Here is an 18,535-nt window from a genome sequence, read left to right as displayed (position 1 = left end):
TAAATCTGTAGAAAATAATTCCCAGGCTTTACATACCATTTCCTTCACTCTTGACAAGCATTACAAAATCCATATATTTTCTGTAACTTGCAGAATTTTTGTGTTTCTATGACCTTTGCATCAGCCAAATCACACTGCCAAGAACACAATCTCTCACCTCTGCTTGCCCGTGCAATGACTATTCATGCTTTAGGTTTCAGACTGGATGTTACTTCCTTCCAGAAGCTGACATGGAAACACAAGTCCAGATGAGGTGGCCCTCTTATGAGTTTCCAGTAAACCCAGTGCAAACATTCCATTTTTATGGTACATCAGACCATATTGTGTTGTACTTTCCAAATTCCTGTGGTGTCAAGATTTTTAGTATCTAGCATAGTGGTTGGATGGAGTAGGTTGGCTCTTATACAGTAAATGAATAAATGCAAAAAACAATAAATGCGAGGGATATAGGTATGCCTGTAGACCACAATATACCTCCACACGCTCTTCACTTCTATCTCTTCCAATTATTGGCAGATTCACCCAGATCAAACCCTTCCCATACCCATGACCTCACATTTCATCTGCATAAGGTCCATAATACATGAGACTATCTTCTCCACCTTGTTTTTACAGTGCATTGTCTGAGACTTCTCTGTCAGCAGCATGGCATCTCTTTATTGTCCATATTCCACATAACTTACAACATACAATATTCAAGGACCTGGGGGCATGACATAAGGATGGGTGTGGGGGAGAGGGTGCTGATCTAGGAAACAGTGGCGGACCACTGAGGCTTGAACACTAATAAGGCAGCAAGCCTCAGCAGAACTTCTAGATCATGTATTATCCTTGGGACCTTGTTTTATGAACTCTAGCTTACCTCAATAGTGTGTTGTGGTTTCAGTATAGAAGTTTGAAGAAGGTGGAGAAATTTGAAAACAGTTCTTATGGGAAATGGATAAGAGAACTCATCAGAAAAATGGAGAAGGATGAATAGGCTAGGCTGGAGGCCTTACCTTTCCCACAGTGGGGAAAATAACAAAAGATAAAAAGAGATGTCCAGTGAGTTTTCCCAGGTCACACACACCTTAGTGGTCTGATCAGGAGTAGAATCAGGAGTAGAACCATGATGCTGTAACTGGAGTCTTGGTTCATTTCATGTTGCTTCTTCACAGGAAAAAGTACCCAGTTGACTGTGGGCCAATGTGTGGGTTATGAAGGTGAAAGGACTACATAATTAAAGTCTTATTAGAGAATATGGATAACTTGTTGAAAAAGACCAGTAAGACAAGAATGTTTTGAGTTTAAAAGATCCCCAACTTGTCTTTACTTACTTTCTTATGTACATTTGGAAAACCAAAAGCCACCAACCGTAGCTTAATATATGTGGACTAGGATATTTAGAGTGAAAAAATAGTAATAACACATCTTGACTATTTCCACCTAACTCTACTAGCTAGGCCTTAATGTATACACCAATCATACCTGTGGTGCAAAACAGGAGAAGAAAAATACCTCCTCGGATTATGAATTGCAGCACAGCAATTGACCAAGTCTCTGCATGTTTACAAGTAAAGGAAAATGCACAAAGGTCCCTTTTGTTTGATGGTGTTTCTGATTATCATAAAGAAGGATCAATGAAACCATCAGAAAAACATCAGCTTTTGGACGCGTTACAGAGTTCTCATGCTTCATAGTCCCTGGATTCTAGCTCGAATTCTAATCAATGGTGGTATGAGGAGGCCAAATTCGAACCATAAGATACCAGTACAAGATGCCTGAAATGCCAGGCAAAGTACTGTGTTGGAGAAATGTACAAGGAAAAGCAGGTACCTGCCTTGGAAGAGCAATCATCCTAGTCTGAGAAACCAATCATTTATGGATAAATACAGAAAACAATAAAACGGGGGAAAACCCAGATTGACTTTGGTTCAGTGGACTCAACTGTGGGAAAGTCCTCCTTTCTTTAGTCTTATTTTACAAGAATTTGTAGATATTTTAAATATTTGCATATAAAGGAAATTTGAATGTGAAAAATAAGGAAATTTGAAAAATACCCAATTCCAGAATGAAACACATGATGAAGTGACCTTTGTTTGAAATATTCAGTGGTGTCTTGATGCCAGCATACTCCTCTAATGAATCTGAAGTCCACTTCTGATTGAGTATGGTAAGCACCTTCTTTGCTCACATGGTCTTTGGCTTTCTCAATTTGAAGACCCACCCCACCTTATTGTGAACCGCAGAGACAGTATGGCCTAACTATAGAAATCCTGGCCAGAAGTCCTAAAGGAGGTTTTTGGAATATGCCTCAAGGTGTAGCAGGAGAGAGAGTGGCCCTTGAAAACAAATCTTGGGGCAAAAGCAAGGTGGGTTTCTTCCCACTTTCACCTCTTCTGCTCACCTTCATCACCTCCACTCCAGTTTCTACTACTCTAGGAAACATATTACACTGGTCAGTCACTGAGGCTGAATACTAGCCATCATACCCACCCCACTTTTATCCAGTTCTACACTTTTGACCTCTGGAAGGCCACACCACTCAATCAACTCTTTACTCACATGTCCCATATCCTGGTGTGAGCCCTGATTGTATCTCACCTGAACTGCTAGGAGAGCCTCCCAAATGACATGCACATCAGCAGTCTCTCTCCCCTTAGTTCATCAGAAAGGTTTTATCATTCCCAGAGTAATCTGTCTAGTGTGCAATGTAAACTCTATTTCATTCCATTGTCCCAACTTTCATTCACTTGTAACACATATATCATGTATATACATATATACTATACATGTATAGTATATATATACTATACATGTATAGTATATATATACATATATAGTATATATACATATATATACATATATACTATACATGTATAGTATATATACACATATATACATATGTATATATAGTGTCTACTATGAGCCAGGCACTCTTCTGAGCATTTGAGAGAACAAATACTTGTTTAACTTCTCCTCCAACATGAACCTTCAGGCTCAACCCTAGGGAAAATTTCTGCAGAGAAAACCCCTCGATTAAACAGACAGGGACATCAAGAGAGGGAGAGGGAGTGGGTCTGAACCCTGCTTGCTTTCTAGCCCAGAAGACATCTCAATAGCTTATGTTTCACCTACAACTGACTCTTGAAGCTCTAGCATCCATCTTCAATAGTATCTACAAAAAGTGTATCAAAAGTTTACCTAGTCACCTACCATTTCTCTGTACAGAAACATTACTAACTACCATACACTGTTCTAAGACATTTATATATGTTAACTCATTTAATCATAACAAATTACCATTTTATCCCCATGGTATGGATGATTCTAAATCATATAAATATCATAGCTGCTAAGTAGTGATGCTTGGATTCAAACCCAGGAAGTCTAGCTCCAAAGCTTGCTTCCCCAGTGATCCAAGAATCAAACTCAAGCCTCTAACATGAAGTTATCTTCCCTTATATTCAAATTATGCTCACTTCTCACCTCATCCTAAAGTCTCCACAGATGTCATGGGTTAGAATTAACTCCTCTCTCACTGAATGAGCTCTTTTCTTCATCTTCTCCCTTTTCCTTACTCTCCTTTATTGTGAACTCATGATATCTCTGTATCCTCCCACAGAAACACTGGGAACTAGAAAAGATGTGTTCATGGATTTCAAAGTATTTCAAATGGATTTCAGGTATCTCAGAGCTCATCTGGCTCTACCCCCTTAATAAAGGTGAGAAACCAGACATCAGACATATTAAGCAATATTCCCCATGCCAGTAAGATACTTAATGATAAACTTCAACTCCTTTCTAGAAGGAGCTTTTCACAACTCCTGTTCTAGAATTCTTTCTAGTCTACATGCTGGTTCTGGATTACCCCCCAATGAATACAACAATGTACCTACAGTCAACAATACTGTATCGTACACTTAAAAATGTATGACAAGTATAGATCACATGTAAAAATAACATAAAATTAATAAAGTAAAAAAATGTCCATTAGTGATGGGGTTACCAGATTGAGAGGACTTAGATTCAGGAAAGATGGAGAAGAAAGAAGGAAATAGTGAAAACAGGAAAAAATAAAAAAGGAAGTGGGGAGGGCAATCCCACTTGCTACTCACCTGTGTCCTAGAACTGTTACCTCTTAGGAAATTTTCAGGCAGGGTCAGAAGCCATCAGTCGTTTGAGTAACAAGATGATAAAATCTGTGCATGAACACATTCAATCTGCAAGAAATATATTGACAAAATTGTAACTAGTCATTATTTACTTTAATTGTTCCATGCCAAAATAATTAGAGATTGAAAGCAGAACAAAAGTCACAGTAGACCTACCCCATTATACTCTTTTCATTTACACTTTCAATTTAATTCCCATGATGTGTAGCTCATGGCTGCCTGCCATTCCTGGCTTCTTGAGGCTAGTGCCAAAAGATAGGCCAGTCTCCCTTGAAAGTGTATAAGGGAGGACCGCGCACTGAATTGACACACTCAGTGTGTGTTTAAGGTTGAGACTAAAGACTTTTGGTTGAGAATTATGGCTATCCCCTGGAAAAGTAAGGGCAGCCCTGAGGACTAAGACATCCAGGCTTCTACATGATAGGGGTGGTGCTTTGCACAACTGGGACTGGATCTTGACTTGGCATCTTCTTGTGCTTTCACATCCTAACAAGGCTTCAACTGGAAGGCAACTATCCTGGCCTTGAAGGATAGGCAAAGGATGACAAAGAGGGGCAGTTCATAAATTCAGTAGTTCCTGCCATAGACCACCTATGAAAAGTAACCCTCAAAACTCATTAAGGTGTTATTCTTAGTCCATGGCATTGTAGATATGGCAAAGCTGAAGGCAGTTTCTTGAAAGAAGATACTATTTTTATACCTGACATTTATATGAATTAGCCTCACAAGGCAAAAAAAAGACACCAGGTCCACCCTCCACAGCCTCTCCTAATAAGCAGACTTTACCAGTGTATTTCTGGTGAGAGTGTACCTGGTCATCTATATCAATTTTGACAAAGAAGAAAAACTGTCTCAGCAATGTGATCTTTGCAATTGGTCTTTTTTAAGCCCTCATCAAGAAATCTTGTCTAGCAGATTGTGATACTGTCATATAGACACTAGGGGCACTGTTGCCTAAGAAATACAGATACTGGCAGACCAGCCCTAGGGAAAATTTCTGCAAAGAAAACTCTTTCTGCAGAAAGAAATGTAGTGGTCATTTCAAACAGAAATTACAGAAATGGGAGGGTATTTCTTCTATCTTTTTGTACTATGTTCCTCTCTCTGTCCTCTCATTTTCTCAGAATTAGAAATCCTCCTTTCTCGACATACACATGCATACACATACAAACACACACAAACACACACACACACACACTTCAGTCAAATCCTGGAAAACCTATCTTCACTGGCACATCTAAATGCTAATCCCTTTTATCTACTTGCTCTCAGTGCTCGCTAGTTCTTTTTTACCCTGTTTTGATCTCTCTGGCCCCTGAATCTAGATTTCTTCTTCTCAGTGCTTCCAAATGTCTCTATCTAAAACTCAAATTTAATCTCTTAGCATTTCCCTGCATAGAAACCTCGAATAATACAGGATGCTCCATCTCATACATCAAGGGCTGGCAAAATATTTCTGCAAAGGGCCAAATAGTAGTTATCTTAGCCTCTGTGGGCCATATGGTCTCTACTGCAACAATTCAATTCTGCAGTCATCACACAAAAGCAGCCACAGACAATACATAAGTGAATGGATGGCTGTATTCCAATAAATTTTTATTTACAAAAACTGGTAATAGGCTAGCTTTGACCAGCTGCCTGTAGTTTCCTTGACTTAGTATTATCAAGCATAGCCTCCCTTCAGCGAAACTTGCTCCCTATTCCTGGTTTTTGATATTTCTCTAGCATGAAGACAAGACATCCTCATTCCACATACCCATGAACTAATTCATATAGAAAGCCTGCTCTGTTTATCCCAGCAGTCCATCAGCCCCACTCACTTTCTGACTCTGAAATATGCAAGCATAGAGTTCCATAGTAGGATAAACTAGTAGGAATACTCACCAAGCACCACATAAAATACTTACAATAGAGGCAGAGATATGAGGACTACTAAGAGATTTCCTACCAAGTCACTGTGAGGGCAGTGTTAATGAGACAGGAGTATTTAATCATAGGCAAAATAACAATAATAGTAGGTAACACAGAAAGAAGAAATGATTGAAGGGAAGTAGTAAAGGCAGAGAAAGCTACTAGGAGATTTTCTGTTTCTACTCACCTTCGTTCAAGGATCTTTGGCCTCTTATGAGGTAGCAAAGCATAATATTGAAGAGCCTTGGCCACGGAGTCAGGCTACCTAAGTTCTCAATATTGGCTCAATCACTTACTTTCTATATGAATTGTAGGCAAGTCTGTGTCTTAATTACTACATCTCCAAACAGGGAATGATAATGGTATAACCTCTGAGAGTTTTTAACATGATTAAACAAACGGTGCACAGAAAGCAGTTAAAGCAGGGCCTCAGCCAAGATGGCCAAATAGGAACAGCTACCAACATGAGAAACACAAAAAACAAATGATTTCTGCATTTCCAACTGAGGTACCAGGATCATCTCACTGCGGATTGTCAGAAAGTGGGTGTAGGACAATGGGTGTAGCACAGTGAGTGTGAGCCGAAGCAGGGAGAGGCATCGCTTCACCTGGGAAGTGCAAGGGGTCAGGGAATTCTCTTTCCTAGCCAAGGAAAGGGGTGACAGACGGCACCTGGAAAATCGGGTCACTTCCACCCAAATACTGCGCTTTTCTCACAGTCTTACCAAATGGCACATCAGGAGATTATATCCCGTGCCTGGCTCGGAGGGTCCCACGCCCACGGAGCCTCACTCATTGCTGGCACAGCAGTCTGAGATCAAACTGCAAGGCCGCAGCGAGGCTGGGGGAGGGGCGCCCGCCATTGCCAAGGCTTGAGTAGGTAAACAAAGTGGCCAGGAAGATCGAACTGGGTGGAGCCCACCCCAGGTCAAGGAGGCCTGCCTGCCTCTGTAGACTCCACCTCTGGGGGCAGGGCATAGCCAAACAAAAGGCAGCACAAGCCTCTGCAGACTTAAATGTCCCTGTCTGACAGCTTTGAAGACAGTAATCGTTCTCCCAGCATGCAGCTGGAGATCTGAGAACGGACAGACTGCCTCCTCAAGTGGGTCCCTGACCCCCGAGTAGCCTAACTGGGAGCCACCAACCAGTAGGGGCAGACTGACACCTCACAAGGCCAGGTACTCCTCTGAGACAAAACATCCAGATGAAGAATCAGGCAGCAACCTTTGCGGTTCACCAATATGAGCTGTTCTGCAGGCTCCGCTGAGGATATCCAGGCAAACAGGGTCTGAAATGGACTTCCGGCAAACTCCAACAAACCTGCAGCTGAGGGTCCTCACTGTTAGAAGAAAAACTAACAAACAGAAAGGACATCCCCACCAAAACCCCATCTGTACGTCACCATCATCAAAGACCAAAGGTAAATAAAACCACAACGATGGGGAAAAAACAGAGGAAAAAAAATGAAAATTCTAAAAATCAGAGTGCCTCTCCTCCTCCAAAGGAATGCAGCTCCGAACCAGCAATGAACACAGGTGGATGGAGAATGACTTTGACGAGTTGAGAGAAGAAGGCTTCAGACGATCAAACTACTCTGAGCTAAAGAAGGAAGTTGAATCCATGACAAAGAAGTTAAAAACCTTGAAAAAAGATTAGACAAATGTCTAACTAGAATAACCAATGCAGAGAAGCCCTTAAAGGACCTGATGGAGCTGAAAACCATGGCACGAGAACTACGTGATGAATGCACAAGCCTCAGTAACCGATGTGATCAACTGGAAGAAAGGGTATCAGTGAAGGAAGATCAAATGAATGAAATGAAGCGAGAAGAGAAGTTTAGAGAAAAAAGAATAAAAAGAAATGAACAAAGCCTCCAAGAAATATGGGACTATGTGAAAAGACCAAATCTACGTCTGACTGGTGTACCTGAAAGTGACGGTGAGAATGGAAACAAGTTGGAAAACACTCTGCAGGATATTATCCAGGAGAACTTCCCCAATCTAGCAAGGCAGGCCAACATTCAGATTCAGGAAATACAGAGAATGTCACAAAGATACTCCTCGAGAAGAGCAACTCCAAGACACATAATGGTCAGATTCACCAAAGTTGAAATGAGGAAAAAATGTTAAGGGCAGCCAGAGAGAAAGGTCGGGTTACCCACAAAGGGAAGCCCATCAGACTAACAGCTGATCTCTCAGCAGAAACTCTACAAGCCAGAAGACAGTGGGGGCCAACATTCAACATTCTTAAAGAAAAGAATTTTCAACCCAGAATTTCATATCCAGCCAAATTAAGCTTAATAAGTGAAGGAGAAATAAAATCCTTTACAGACAAGCAAATGCTGAGAGATTTTGTCACCACCAGGCCTCCCCTACAAGAGCTCCTGAGGGAAGCACTAAACATGGAAAGGAACAACTGGTACCAGCCACTGCAAAAGCATGCCAAATTGTAAAGACAGTCGAGGCTAGGAAGAAACTGCATCAACTAACGACAAAACAACCAGCTATCATCATAATAACAGGATCAAATTCACACATAGCAATATTAACTTAAATGTAAATTGCCTAAATGCTCCAATTAAAAGACACAGACTGGCAAATTGGATAAAGAGTCAAGACCCATCAGTGTGCTGTATTCAGGAAACCCATCTCATGTGCAGAGACACACATAGGCTCAAAATAAAGGGATGGAGGAAGATCTACCAAGCAAATGAAAACAAAAAAATGCAGGGGTTGCAATCCTAGTCTCTGATAAAACAGACTTTAAACCAACAAAGATCAAAAGAGACAAAGAAGGCCATTACATAATGGTAAAGGGATCAATTCAACAAGAAGAGCTAACTATCCTAAATATATATGCACCCAATAAAGGCGCACCCAGATTCATAAGGCAAGTCCTTAGAGACCTACAAAGAGACTTAGACTCTCACACAATAATAATGGGAGACTTTAACACCACACTATCAACATTAGACAGATCAATGAGACACAAAGTCAACAAGGATATCCAGGAATTGAACTCAGCTCTGCACCAAAAAGACCTAATAGACACCTACAGAACTCTCCACCCCAAATCAACAGAATATACATTGTTCTCAGCACCACACCACACCTATTCCAAAACTGACCACATAGTTGGAAGTAAAGCACTCCTCAGCAAATGTAAAAGAACAGAAATTATAACAAACGGTCTCACATACCACAGTGCAATCAAACTAGAACTCAAGATTAAGAAACTCACTCAAAACTGCTCAACTATATGGAAACTGAACAACCTGCTCCTGAATGACTACTGGGTACATAACAAAATGAAGGCAGAAATAAATAAGTTCTTTGAAACCAACGAGAACAAAGACATAACATACCAGAATCTCTGGGACACATTTAAACCAGTGTGTAGAGGGAAATTTATAGCACTAAATGCCCACAAGAGAAAGCAGGAAAGATCTAAAATTGACACCCTAACATCACAATTAAAAGAATGAGAGAAGCAAGAGCAAACACATTCAAAAGCTAGCAGAAGGCAAGAAATAACTAAGATCAGAGCAGAACTGAAGGAAATAGAGAGACAAAAAACCCTTCAAAGATCAATGAATCCAGGAGCTGCTTTTTTCAAATGATCAACAAAATTGATAGACTGCTAGCAAGACTAAAAAAGAAGAAAAGAAAGAAGAATCAAATGGACGCAATACAAAATGATACAGGGGATATCACCACTGATCCCACAGAAATAAACTACCATCAGAGATTACTACAAACACCTCTACGCAAATAAACTAGAAAATCTAGAAGAAATGGATAAATTCCTCGACACATACAATCTCCCAAGACTAAACCAGGAAGAAGTTGAATCTCCGAATAGACCAATAACAGGCTCTGACATTGAGGCAATAATTAATAGCTTATCAACCAAAAAAACTCCAGGACCCGATGGATTCACAGTCAAATTCTACCAGAGGTACAAGGAGGACCTGGTACATTCCTTCAGAAACTATTTCAATCAACAGAAAAGGAGGGAATCCTTCCTAACTCATTTTATGAGGCCAGCATCATCCTGATACCAAAGCCTGGCAGAGACACAGCAAAAAAAGAGAATTTTATACCAATATCCCTGATGAACATCGATGCAAAAATCCTCACTAAAATACTGGCTAACCGAATCCAGCAGCACATCAAAAAGCTTATCCACCATGATCAAGTGGGCTTCATCCCTGGGATGCAAGGCTGGTTCAATATACACAAATCAATAAAGGCAATCCAGCATATAAACAGAACGAATGACAAAAATCACGATTATCACAATAAATGGAGAAAAGGCCTTTGACAAAATTCAACAACCCTTCATGCTAAAAACTCTCAATAAATTAGATATTGATGGGACATATCTCAAAATAATAAGAGCTATCTATGACAAACCCACAGCCAATATCATACTGAATGGGCAAAAACTGGAAGCATTCCCTTTGAAAACTGGCACAAGACAGGGATGCCCTCTCTCACCACTCCTATTCAACATAGTGTTGGAAGTTCTGGTCAGGGCAATTAGGCAGGAGAAGGAAATAAAGGGTATTCAATTAGGAAAAGAGGAAGTCAAATTGTCCCTGTTTACAGATGACATGATTGTACATCTAGAAAACCACTTCGTCTCAGCCCAAAATCTCCTTAAGCTGATAGGCAACTTCAGCAACGTCTCAGGATACAAAATCAATGTGCAAAAATCACAAGCATTCTTATACACCAATAACAGACAAACAGAGAGCCAAATCATGAGTGAACTGCTATTCACAATTGCTTCAAAGAGAATAAAATACCTAGGAATCCAACTTACAAGGGATGTGAAGGACCTCTTCAAGGAGAACTACACACCACTGCTCAATGAAATAAAAGAGGATACAAACAAATGGAAGAACATTCCATGCTCATGGGTACGAAGAATCAATATCGTGAAAATGGCCATACTGCCCAAGGTAATTTACAGATTCAATGCCATCCCCATCAAGCTACCAATGACTTTTATCACAGAATGGGAAAAAACTACTTTAAAGTTCATATGGAACCAAAAAGAGACCACATTGCCAAGTCAATCCTAAGCCAAAAGAACAAAGCTGGAGGCATCACGCTACCTGACTTCAAACTATACTACAAGGCTACAGTAACCAAAACAGCATGGTACTGGTACCAAAACAGAGATATAGACCAACGGAACAGAAAAGAGCCCTTAAAAATAATGCCACATATCTACAACTATCTGATCTTTGACGAACCTGACAAAAACAAGCAATGGGGAAAGGATTCCCTATTTAATAAATGATGCTGGGAAAACTGGCTAGCCATATGGAGAAAGCTGAAACTGGATCCCTTCCTTACAACTTACACAAAAATTAATTCAAGATGGATTAAAGACTTAAATGTTAGACCTAAAACCTTAAAAACCCTAGAAGAAAACCTAGGCAATACCATTCAGTACATAGGCATGGGCAAGGACTTCATGTCTAAAACACCAAAAGCAATGGCAACAAAAGCCAAAATTGATAAATGGGATCTAATTAAACTAAAGAGCTTCTGCACAGCAAAAGAAACCACCATCAGAGTGAACAGGCAACCTACAGAATGGGAGAAAATTTTTGAATTCTACGCATCTGACAAAGGGCTAATATCCAGAATCTACAAAGAACTCAAACAAATTTACAAGCAAAAAAACAAACAACCCCATCAAAAAGTGGGCGAAGGATATGAAGAGACACTTCTCAAAAGAAGACATTTATGCAGCCAAAAGACGCAAGAAGAAATGCTCATCATCACTGGCCATCAGAGAATTGCAAATCAAAACCACAATGAGATACCATCTCACACCAGTTAGAATGGTGATCATTAAAAAGTCAGGAAACAATAGGTGCTAGAGAGGATATGGAGAAGTAGTAACACTTTTACACTGTTGGTGGGACTGTAAACTTGGTTCAACCATTGTGGAAGTCAGTGTGGCGATTCATAGGGGATCTAGAACTAGAAATACCATTTGACCCAGCCATCCCATTACTGGGTATATACACAAAGGATTATAAAACATGCTGCTATAAAGAAACATGCACACGTGTGTTTATTGCAGCACTATTCACAATAGTAAAGACTTGGAACCAACCCAAATGACCAACAATGATAGACTGGATTAAGAAAATGTGGCACATATACACCATGGAATACTATGCAGCCATAAAACAGGATGAGTTCACGTCCTTTGTAGGGAGATGGATGAAGCTGGAAACCATCATTCTCAGCAAACTACCACAAGGACGAAAAACAAAACACTGCATGTTCTCACTTATAGGTCGGAATTGAACAATGAGAACACATGGACACAGGAAGGGGAACATCACACGCTGGGCCCTGTTGTCGGGGGGTAGGGGGGAGGGATAGCATTAGGAGATATACCTAATGTTAAATGAAGAGTTAATGGGTGCAGCACACCAACATGGCACACGTATGTATATGTAACAAACCTGTATGTTGTGCACATGTACCTTAAAACTTAAAGTATAATAAAAAAAAAGCAGTGCCTAGCACATGGTAAGCAGTCAGTAAGTTTCAGCTATTATTACTGTGAGAATCTGGGGATAGAGCCAGCACTCACAGAACAGTCAGGTGGTGAGGAGTCTGCATTCTTTGGCATGGCTAGTTGTGTCCCAGGATCTGCATTCCAGAACTTCCATTCTGACACAAGATAGAGTGTTGCCTAGCAAATGTATACACAAAGTCCCGCTGTTCTAGAATTTTATAAAGTTGGGCTCTTAGTCAAAGCGAAGGAAGGAAGGGTCCTTTCAAATAAAGAATTTACTAACAAAGCATTTTTTTCCTGCCAGTGAAATCAGTGAGGAATTCCTGTAGATTTTATCATAACATGTAACAAATCTAGACCTCACCAAACCTTTTCTCTTCTTGCTCTCCTTTTCCTTTTAGAGGTTTATTATCTCTCATACAGAATATTTCCCGTTTTCTGTTTCACTTCTTTCCATCTGTCGTCCATTCTTTTCAAAGTGGTATTTGTATAAATCAACTCCCAATAGACTTTTCACTGCTCAACTTAAATGTTCATTTCCTCACCACTACTTGATGAACAAATCCCCAATTCCTCTGCTGAATACTTAAGGTTCACTATATAGCTCCATTCCACTATTTTGAGTGATTTGCATCCATACTTAATTAACTACATGGTTAGTATTTTTATATTAAATTTATTTTAAATTCAGTTTTTATAATAAAGCAAAATGGTATTTTTGGTCTACAGTTCCATGAATTTTTACACAGGCATAGGCTCATATAACACTATCATAATCATGACAAAAGACAGCTACAGTATCCAAAATACTCCCTCATGCTATTACTTTGTAGTCATATCCTATCACCACCCTTAACTCCTGAGACCCACTAATCTGTTTTTCGACACTTTAATTTTGTCTTTTTGAGAAGGATCTATAAATGGAATATTATTCTATGCAACATTTTGAGACTGGCTTTTTTTCATTCAGTATAATGCCTTTGAGAATTGTCCAACTTGCATCTATGTATAGCTTACTCCTATTTGTTCCTGAGTAATATTCCATGGTATAAATGTACTGTAATTTGCTTATTCATTTACTTGTTAAAGGCATCTGGATTTTTCCTACCTTTTAGCTACTATGAATAAAGCCAGTATAACATTTGTGTACAAAGTTTTGTGTGGATATATGTTTTCTTTTTTTTTGGTTAGAAAAAATAATGTTTTTATTTGGAGAATATATTTAAAACTCAGCATAAAACAAAACCCAAGAACAAATACAATTAAACCTAAAAGTGAAACATTTAATTCTACTGCTTCCTATTTCTCCAGATCCATGTTAGCTAAACATGTCACCTGTTACATTTTTAATGTCCTTTCACTAATATTTCTGGTGGGCTTAATTTGGAAGGGAGAGTAGAATTACCCTGTGATACTTTGGAGGTATGTTTTACTGGCTACAGGATGGGACAATGAGTTTTTGGGCAGCTCTACAGAGCTTAGCCATGTCCCACTGCAAAGGAGACTAGCAAAGAAAGAAAGGAAAGGCATCAGATGCAGATGATGGGAGCCTAGGCAGGATGGCACTGAGAAGAAAAAGAGAGTGAAAAATGGAAGGAAGATAACAGTGAGGCAGGTATGCTGGGAAATTATAGAAAGAGCTCTATCAATAAACCTTGTGCCTCAAAATGGCCAAACTTTCAGAGTATTCCACAGACAAAGTAAAGTTTTTAAAAACTCTGTTAGTTACATGCTTGCTAGTCTTCTATTTTGAATGAGTAAAACCCTATCTAACAATTACTAATAATCATATCTTCAGTGCCACCAAAGGCTTTAAAAATGATACACTTTGATATTTTCCAATAGTTACATTTCTTTATTCCTTTCTTAGTCTCATTTTTTAAAATATGAGAAATGCTCCTTTTTATTTTCTTAACTAAACTGAAAGTCATGAAACAATTCTGAAATAATAATGGCATTACTTATCTTAAGCTAACCAAATGAGGGGTTAACGGTTTGCCATAATTATTATTGAGTGATTTTCCTGGATGACATCTAACTTTCAAGTAAAGATAATGTTTCAAAAATTTATTTGTGGGTACTTAAAAACTAAATTATCATTAATTTAAAGTCTTCACAATTTTCTTCTTTATTGACTTCAAGGAAGCATTTATACAGATGTCTGTTCACTGGAAAAATCTTGAACCATTGGCTACATTTAAAAATCATGACAAAACCAAATTGAGTAAGTGAAGATAGAGTTAAGAGGCTGACAATGAAGTAGAGAGATGGCCAAATCTTTGATAGGCCCACCTGCTGTTGCTTTCTACTTTTGATTTCCCGAATCAGAGTAAGAATACACTGACCATCACATTACAGTCATTTTTTTTTTTTTTTTTTTTAGGGACCATGGTATAAAAACTTTAATTGGTTTTATTTTTGCTGTCATTTTTCAGTGTGTATCTGTCTCCCTTCCTCATTTTTAACCCTCTTGAGACTGGATAGAGATTTCCCAAGCAAGTATAAAAGTAATTATATTCAAAGACAGATTTTTTTTTTCTTCCTAAAGGTATCAAGTTAATTGTCTTTTCTGGGGCTAATTGTCTTTTCTTTGGTCCAGGTGTGAAATGACAGCTTGGTGCCAATGATAGTTTGCATTTGTAAGTCCTTTTCATATACATGATCTCATTTTGTCCTCCAGATGTCTCTGTGGTTTGTTCTTTTTGTTCCATTGCTCAGATGAGTAAACTGAGGTACCACTTGGCAAAGCTCGCAGAATCAGTGTCAGCTCTGCTGTGAATGCTGCTGTTTTCCCATCTTGTTCTACCACTACACAACACAGCAGTGGGGAAGCTACAGGGTTCCTTGTTCTCTAGCTGGCCAGAGCCCCTGAGCTTCCCTGTGGCTGGCAAAGGCAAGTTGGCTTGAGACAATGTTTTCACTGGTTGGTAGGAGAATGAAGACCTTCCCAGCAATGCAGCGAGTTGGAAAAGGAGCATAGCTTTATGCAATAGTTTCCTGGGACAGCTCTAACAAAGTACCAGCAACTGGGTGGCTTAAGACAACAAAAATTTATTAGCTCATAGTTCTGGAGGCCAGAAGTCTGAAACCAGGGTGTTGGCAGGGCCACGGTCCCTCTGAAGTCTCTAGGGAAGATTCCTTCCTCGCCTCTTCCCGGCTTCTGGTGTTACCGGCAATCCTTGGCGTTCCTTGGCTTGTAGTGGCCTCACTCCAGTGGCCACTTCCATCATCACATGGTTGTCTTCCCTGTGTCTCTGTGTCCACATCTCTCTATCTCTCTAAGGACACTAGGGATTAGATTTGCAGTACGGCCTACTACAGTATGACCTCATCTTGACTTGATGACATCTGTAAAGACCCTGTATTCAAATAAAGTCACATTCACAGGTACCAGGTGTTAAGACTTCAACATGTCTTTCTCAGCCCACAACACCTCATCTTAGTCTAGCCTTCCTGCTGGTTTGATTTAAAAATTACCCTTTTAATACACAAAATTATAGTGCTCATAGATGGTAGTTTTTATTTTATAAATGTATGAGACTCAACAAAACAGCAAACCCTTATATTTTTATCACTCAAATGAACAACTGACATATGTTTTCTTACAATATTTTTTAAGAACAAAAATATTACAAATGTAGATTTAAAAACTAATGTTAACCATCTTCACACATTATCTTCTCTTTTTGCAGAGAGCAGTGGTTCTCAACCAGGACAGTTTTGGGGGTGCTATTGTCATCTAGTGGGTAGAGGGCAGGGATGTTGCCAATCATCCAGCAATGCAAGGAGAGCCTGCAACAAGGAATTATCTAGTCCTAAATGTTAATAGCACTCAGGTTGAGAAACTCTATTTTAAAGAGAAGAATAATCATGATATTGACCTGCATCCTTCTAGAAATATTATTCATTCTTTTTCATACATTTACAAGTCCGAAAGGTATTGTATTGTGGTATTGTATTGTGCATGAGTATTCTCTTTTTTCTTTTTAATTTATTATTATTATACTTTGAGTTTTAGGGTACATGTGCACATTGTGCAGGATAGTTACATATGTATACATGTGCCATGCTGGTGCGCTGCACCCACTAACTCGTCATCTAGCATTAGGTATATCTCCCAATGCTATCCTTCCCCCTTCCCCCCACCCCAAAACAGTCCCCAGAGTGTGATGTTCCCCTTCCTGTGTCCATGTGATCTCATTGTTCAATTCCCACCTATGAGTGAGAATATGCGGTGTTTGACTTTTTGTTCTTGTGATAGTTTACTGAGAATGATAATTTCCACTTTCATCCATGTCCCTACAAAGGACATGAACTCATCATTTTTTATGGCTGCATAGTATTCCATGGTGTATATGTGCCACATTTTCTTAATCCAGTCTATCATTGTTGGACATTTGGGTTGGTTCCAAGTCTTTGCTATTGTGAACAATGCCGCAATAAACATACGTGTGCATGTGTCTTTATAGCAGCATGACTTATAGTCCTTTGGGTATATACCCAGTAATGGGATGGCTGGGTCAAATGGTATTTCTACTTCTAGATCCCTGAGGAATCGCCACACTGACTTCCACAAGGGTTGAACTAGTTTACAGTCCCACCAACAGTGTAAAAGTGTTCCTATTTCTCCACATCCACTCCAGCACCTGTTGTTTCCTGACTTTTTAATGATTGCCATTCTAACTGGTGTGAGATGGTGATCTCATTGTGGTTTTGATTTGCATTTCTCTGATGGCCAGTGATGGTGAGCATTTTTTCATGTGTTTTTTGGCTGCATAAATGTCTTCTTTTGAGAAGTGTCTGTTCATGTCCTTTGCCCACTTTTTGATGGGGTTGTTTTTTTCTTGTACATTTGTTGGAGTTCATTGTAGATTCTGGATATTAGCCCTTTGTCAGAGGAGTAGGTTGCGAAAATTTTCTCCAATTTTGTAGGTTGCCTGTTCATTCTGATGGTAGTTTCTTTTGCTGTGCAGAAGCTCTTTAGTTTAATTGGACCCCATTTGTCAATTTTGGCTTTGGTTGCCATTGCTTTTGGTGTTTTAGACATGAAGTCCTTGCCCATGCCTATGTCCTGAGTGGTAATGCCTAGGTTTTCTTCTAGGGTTTTTACGTTTTTAGGTCTAATGTTTAAGTCTCTTATCCATCTCGAATTGATTTTCGTATAAGGTGTAAGGAAGGGATCCAGTTTCAGTTTTCTCCATATGGCTAGCCAGTTTTCCCAGCACCATTTATTAAATAGGGAATCCTTTCCCCATTGCTTGTTTTTGTCAGGTTTGTCAAAGATCACATAGTTGTAGATTTGCGGCATTATTTCTGAGGGCTCTGTTCTGTTCCATTGATCTATATCTCTGTTTTGGTACCAGTACCATGCTGTTTTGGTTACTGTAGCCTTGTAGTATAGTTTGAAGTCAGGTAGTATGATGCCTCCAGCTTTGTTCTTTTGGCTCAGGATTGACTTGGCAATGTGGGCTCTTTTTTGGTTCCATATGAACTTTAAAGTAGCTTTTTCCAATTCTATGAAGAAAGTCATTGATAGCTTGATGGGGATGGCATTGAATCTGTAAATTACCTTGGGCAGTATGGCCATTCTCACGATATTGATTCTTCCTATCCACGAGCATGGAATGTTCTTCCATTTGTTTGTATCCTCTTTTATTTCCTTGAGCAGTTGTTTGTAGTTCTTCTTGAAGAGGTCCTTCACATCCCTTGTAAGTTGGATTCCTAGGTATTTTATTCCCTTTGAAGCAATTGTGAATGGGAGTTCAATCATGATTTGGCTCTCTGTTTGTCTGTAATTGGTGTATAAGAATGCTTGCGATTTTTGCACATTGATTTTATATCCTGAGACTTTGCTGAAGTTGCTTATCAGCTTGAGGAGATTTTGGGCTGAGATGATGGGGTTTTCTAGATATACAATC

At 39.4% G+C, this 18,535-nt stretch overlaps 1 long non-coding RNA gene across 11 annotated transcripts in view; it reads right to left on the bottom strand.

Annotated features, from left to right (window-relative positions):
- The window catches only part of LOC107985664 (uncharacterized), a 270,484-nt gene that overhangs the window by 184,491 nt on the left and 67,458 nt on the right, over positions 1 to 18,535 (bottom strand). For 10 of the 11 annotated variants that reach the window (XR_007068273.1, XR_001755894.2, XR_007068272.1 and 7 more), the window contains one exon: positions 4,098 to 4,202. This is a non-coding gene — a long non-coding RNA (uncharacterized LOC107985664). Of the gene's footprint in view, positions 1 to 4,097; positions 4,203 to 6,252; positions 6,704 to 18,535 lie in introns of those variants that run through there. The other variant, XR_007068271.1, reaches the window with a different exon arrangement.

This window comes from Homo sapiens, chromosome X, assembly GCF_000001405.40.
Source record: "Homo sapiens chromosome X, GRCh38.p14 Primary Assembly".
NCBI classification, from domain to species: Eukaryota; Metazoa; Chordata; class Mammalia; order Primates; family Hominidae; genus Homo; species Homo sapiens.
This window is presented reverse-complemented; position numbering and strand designations above follow the sequence as displayed.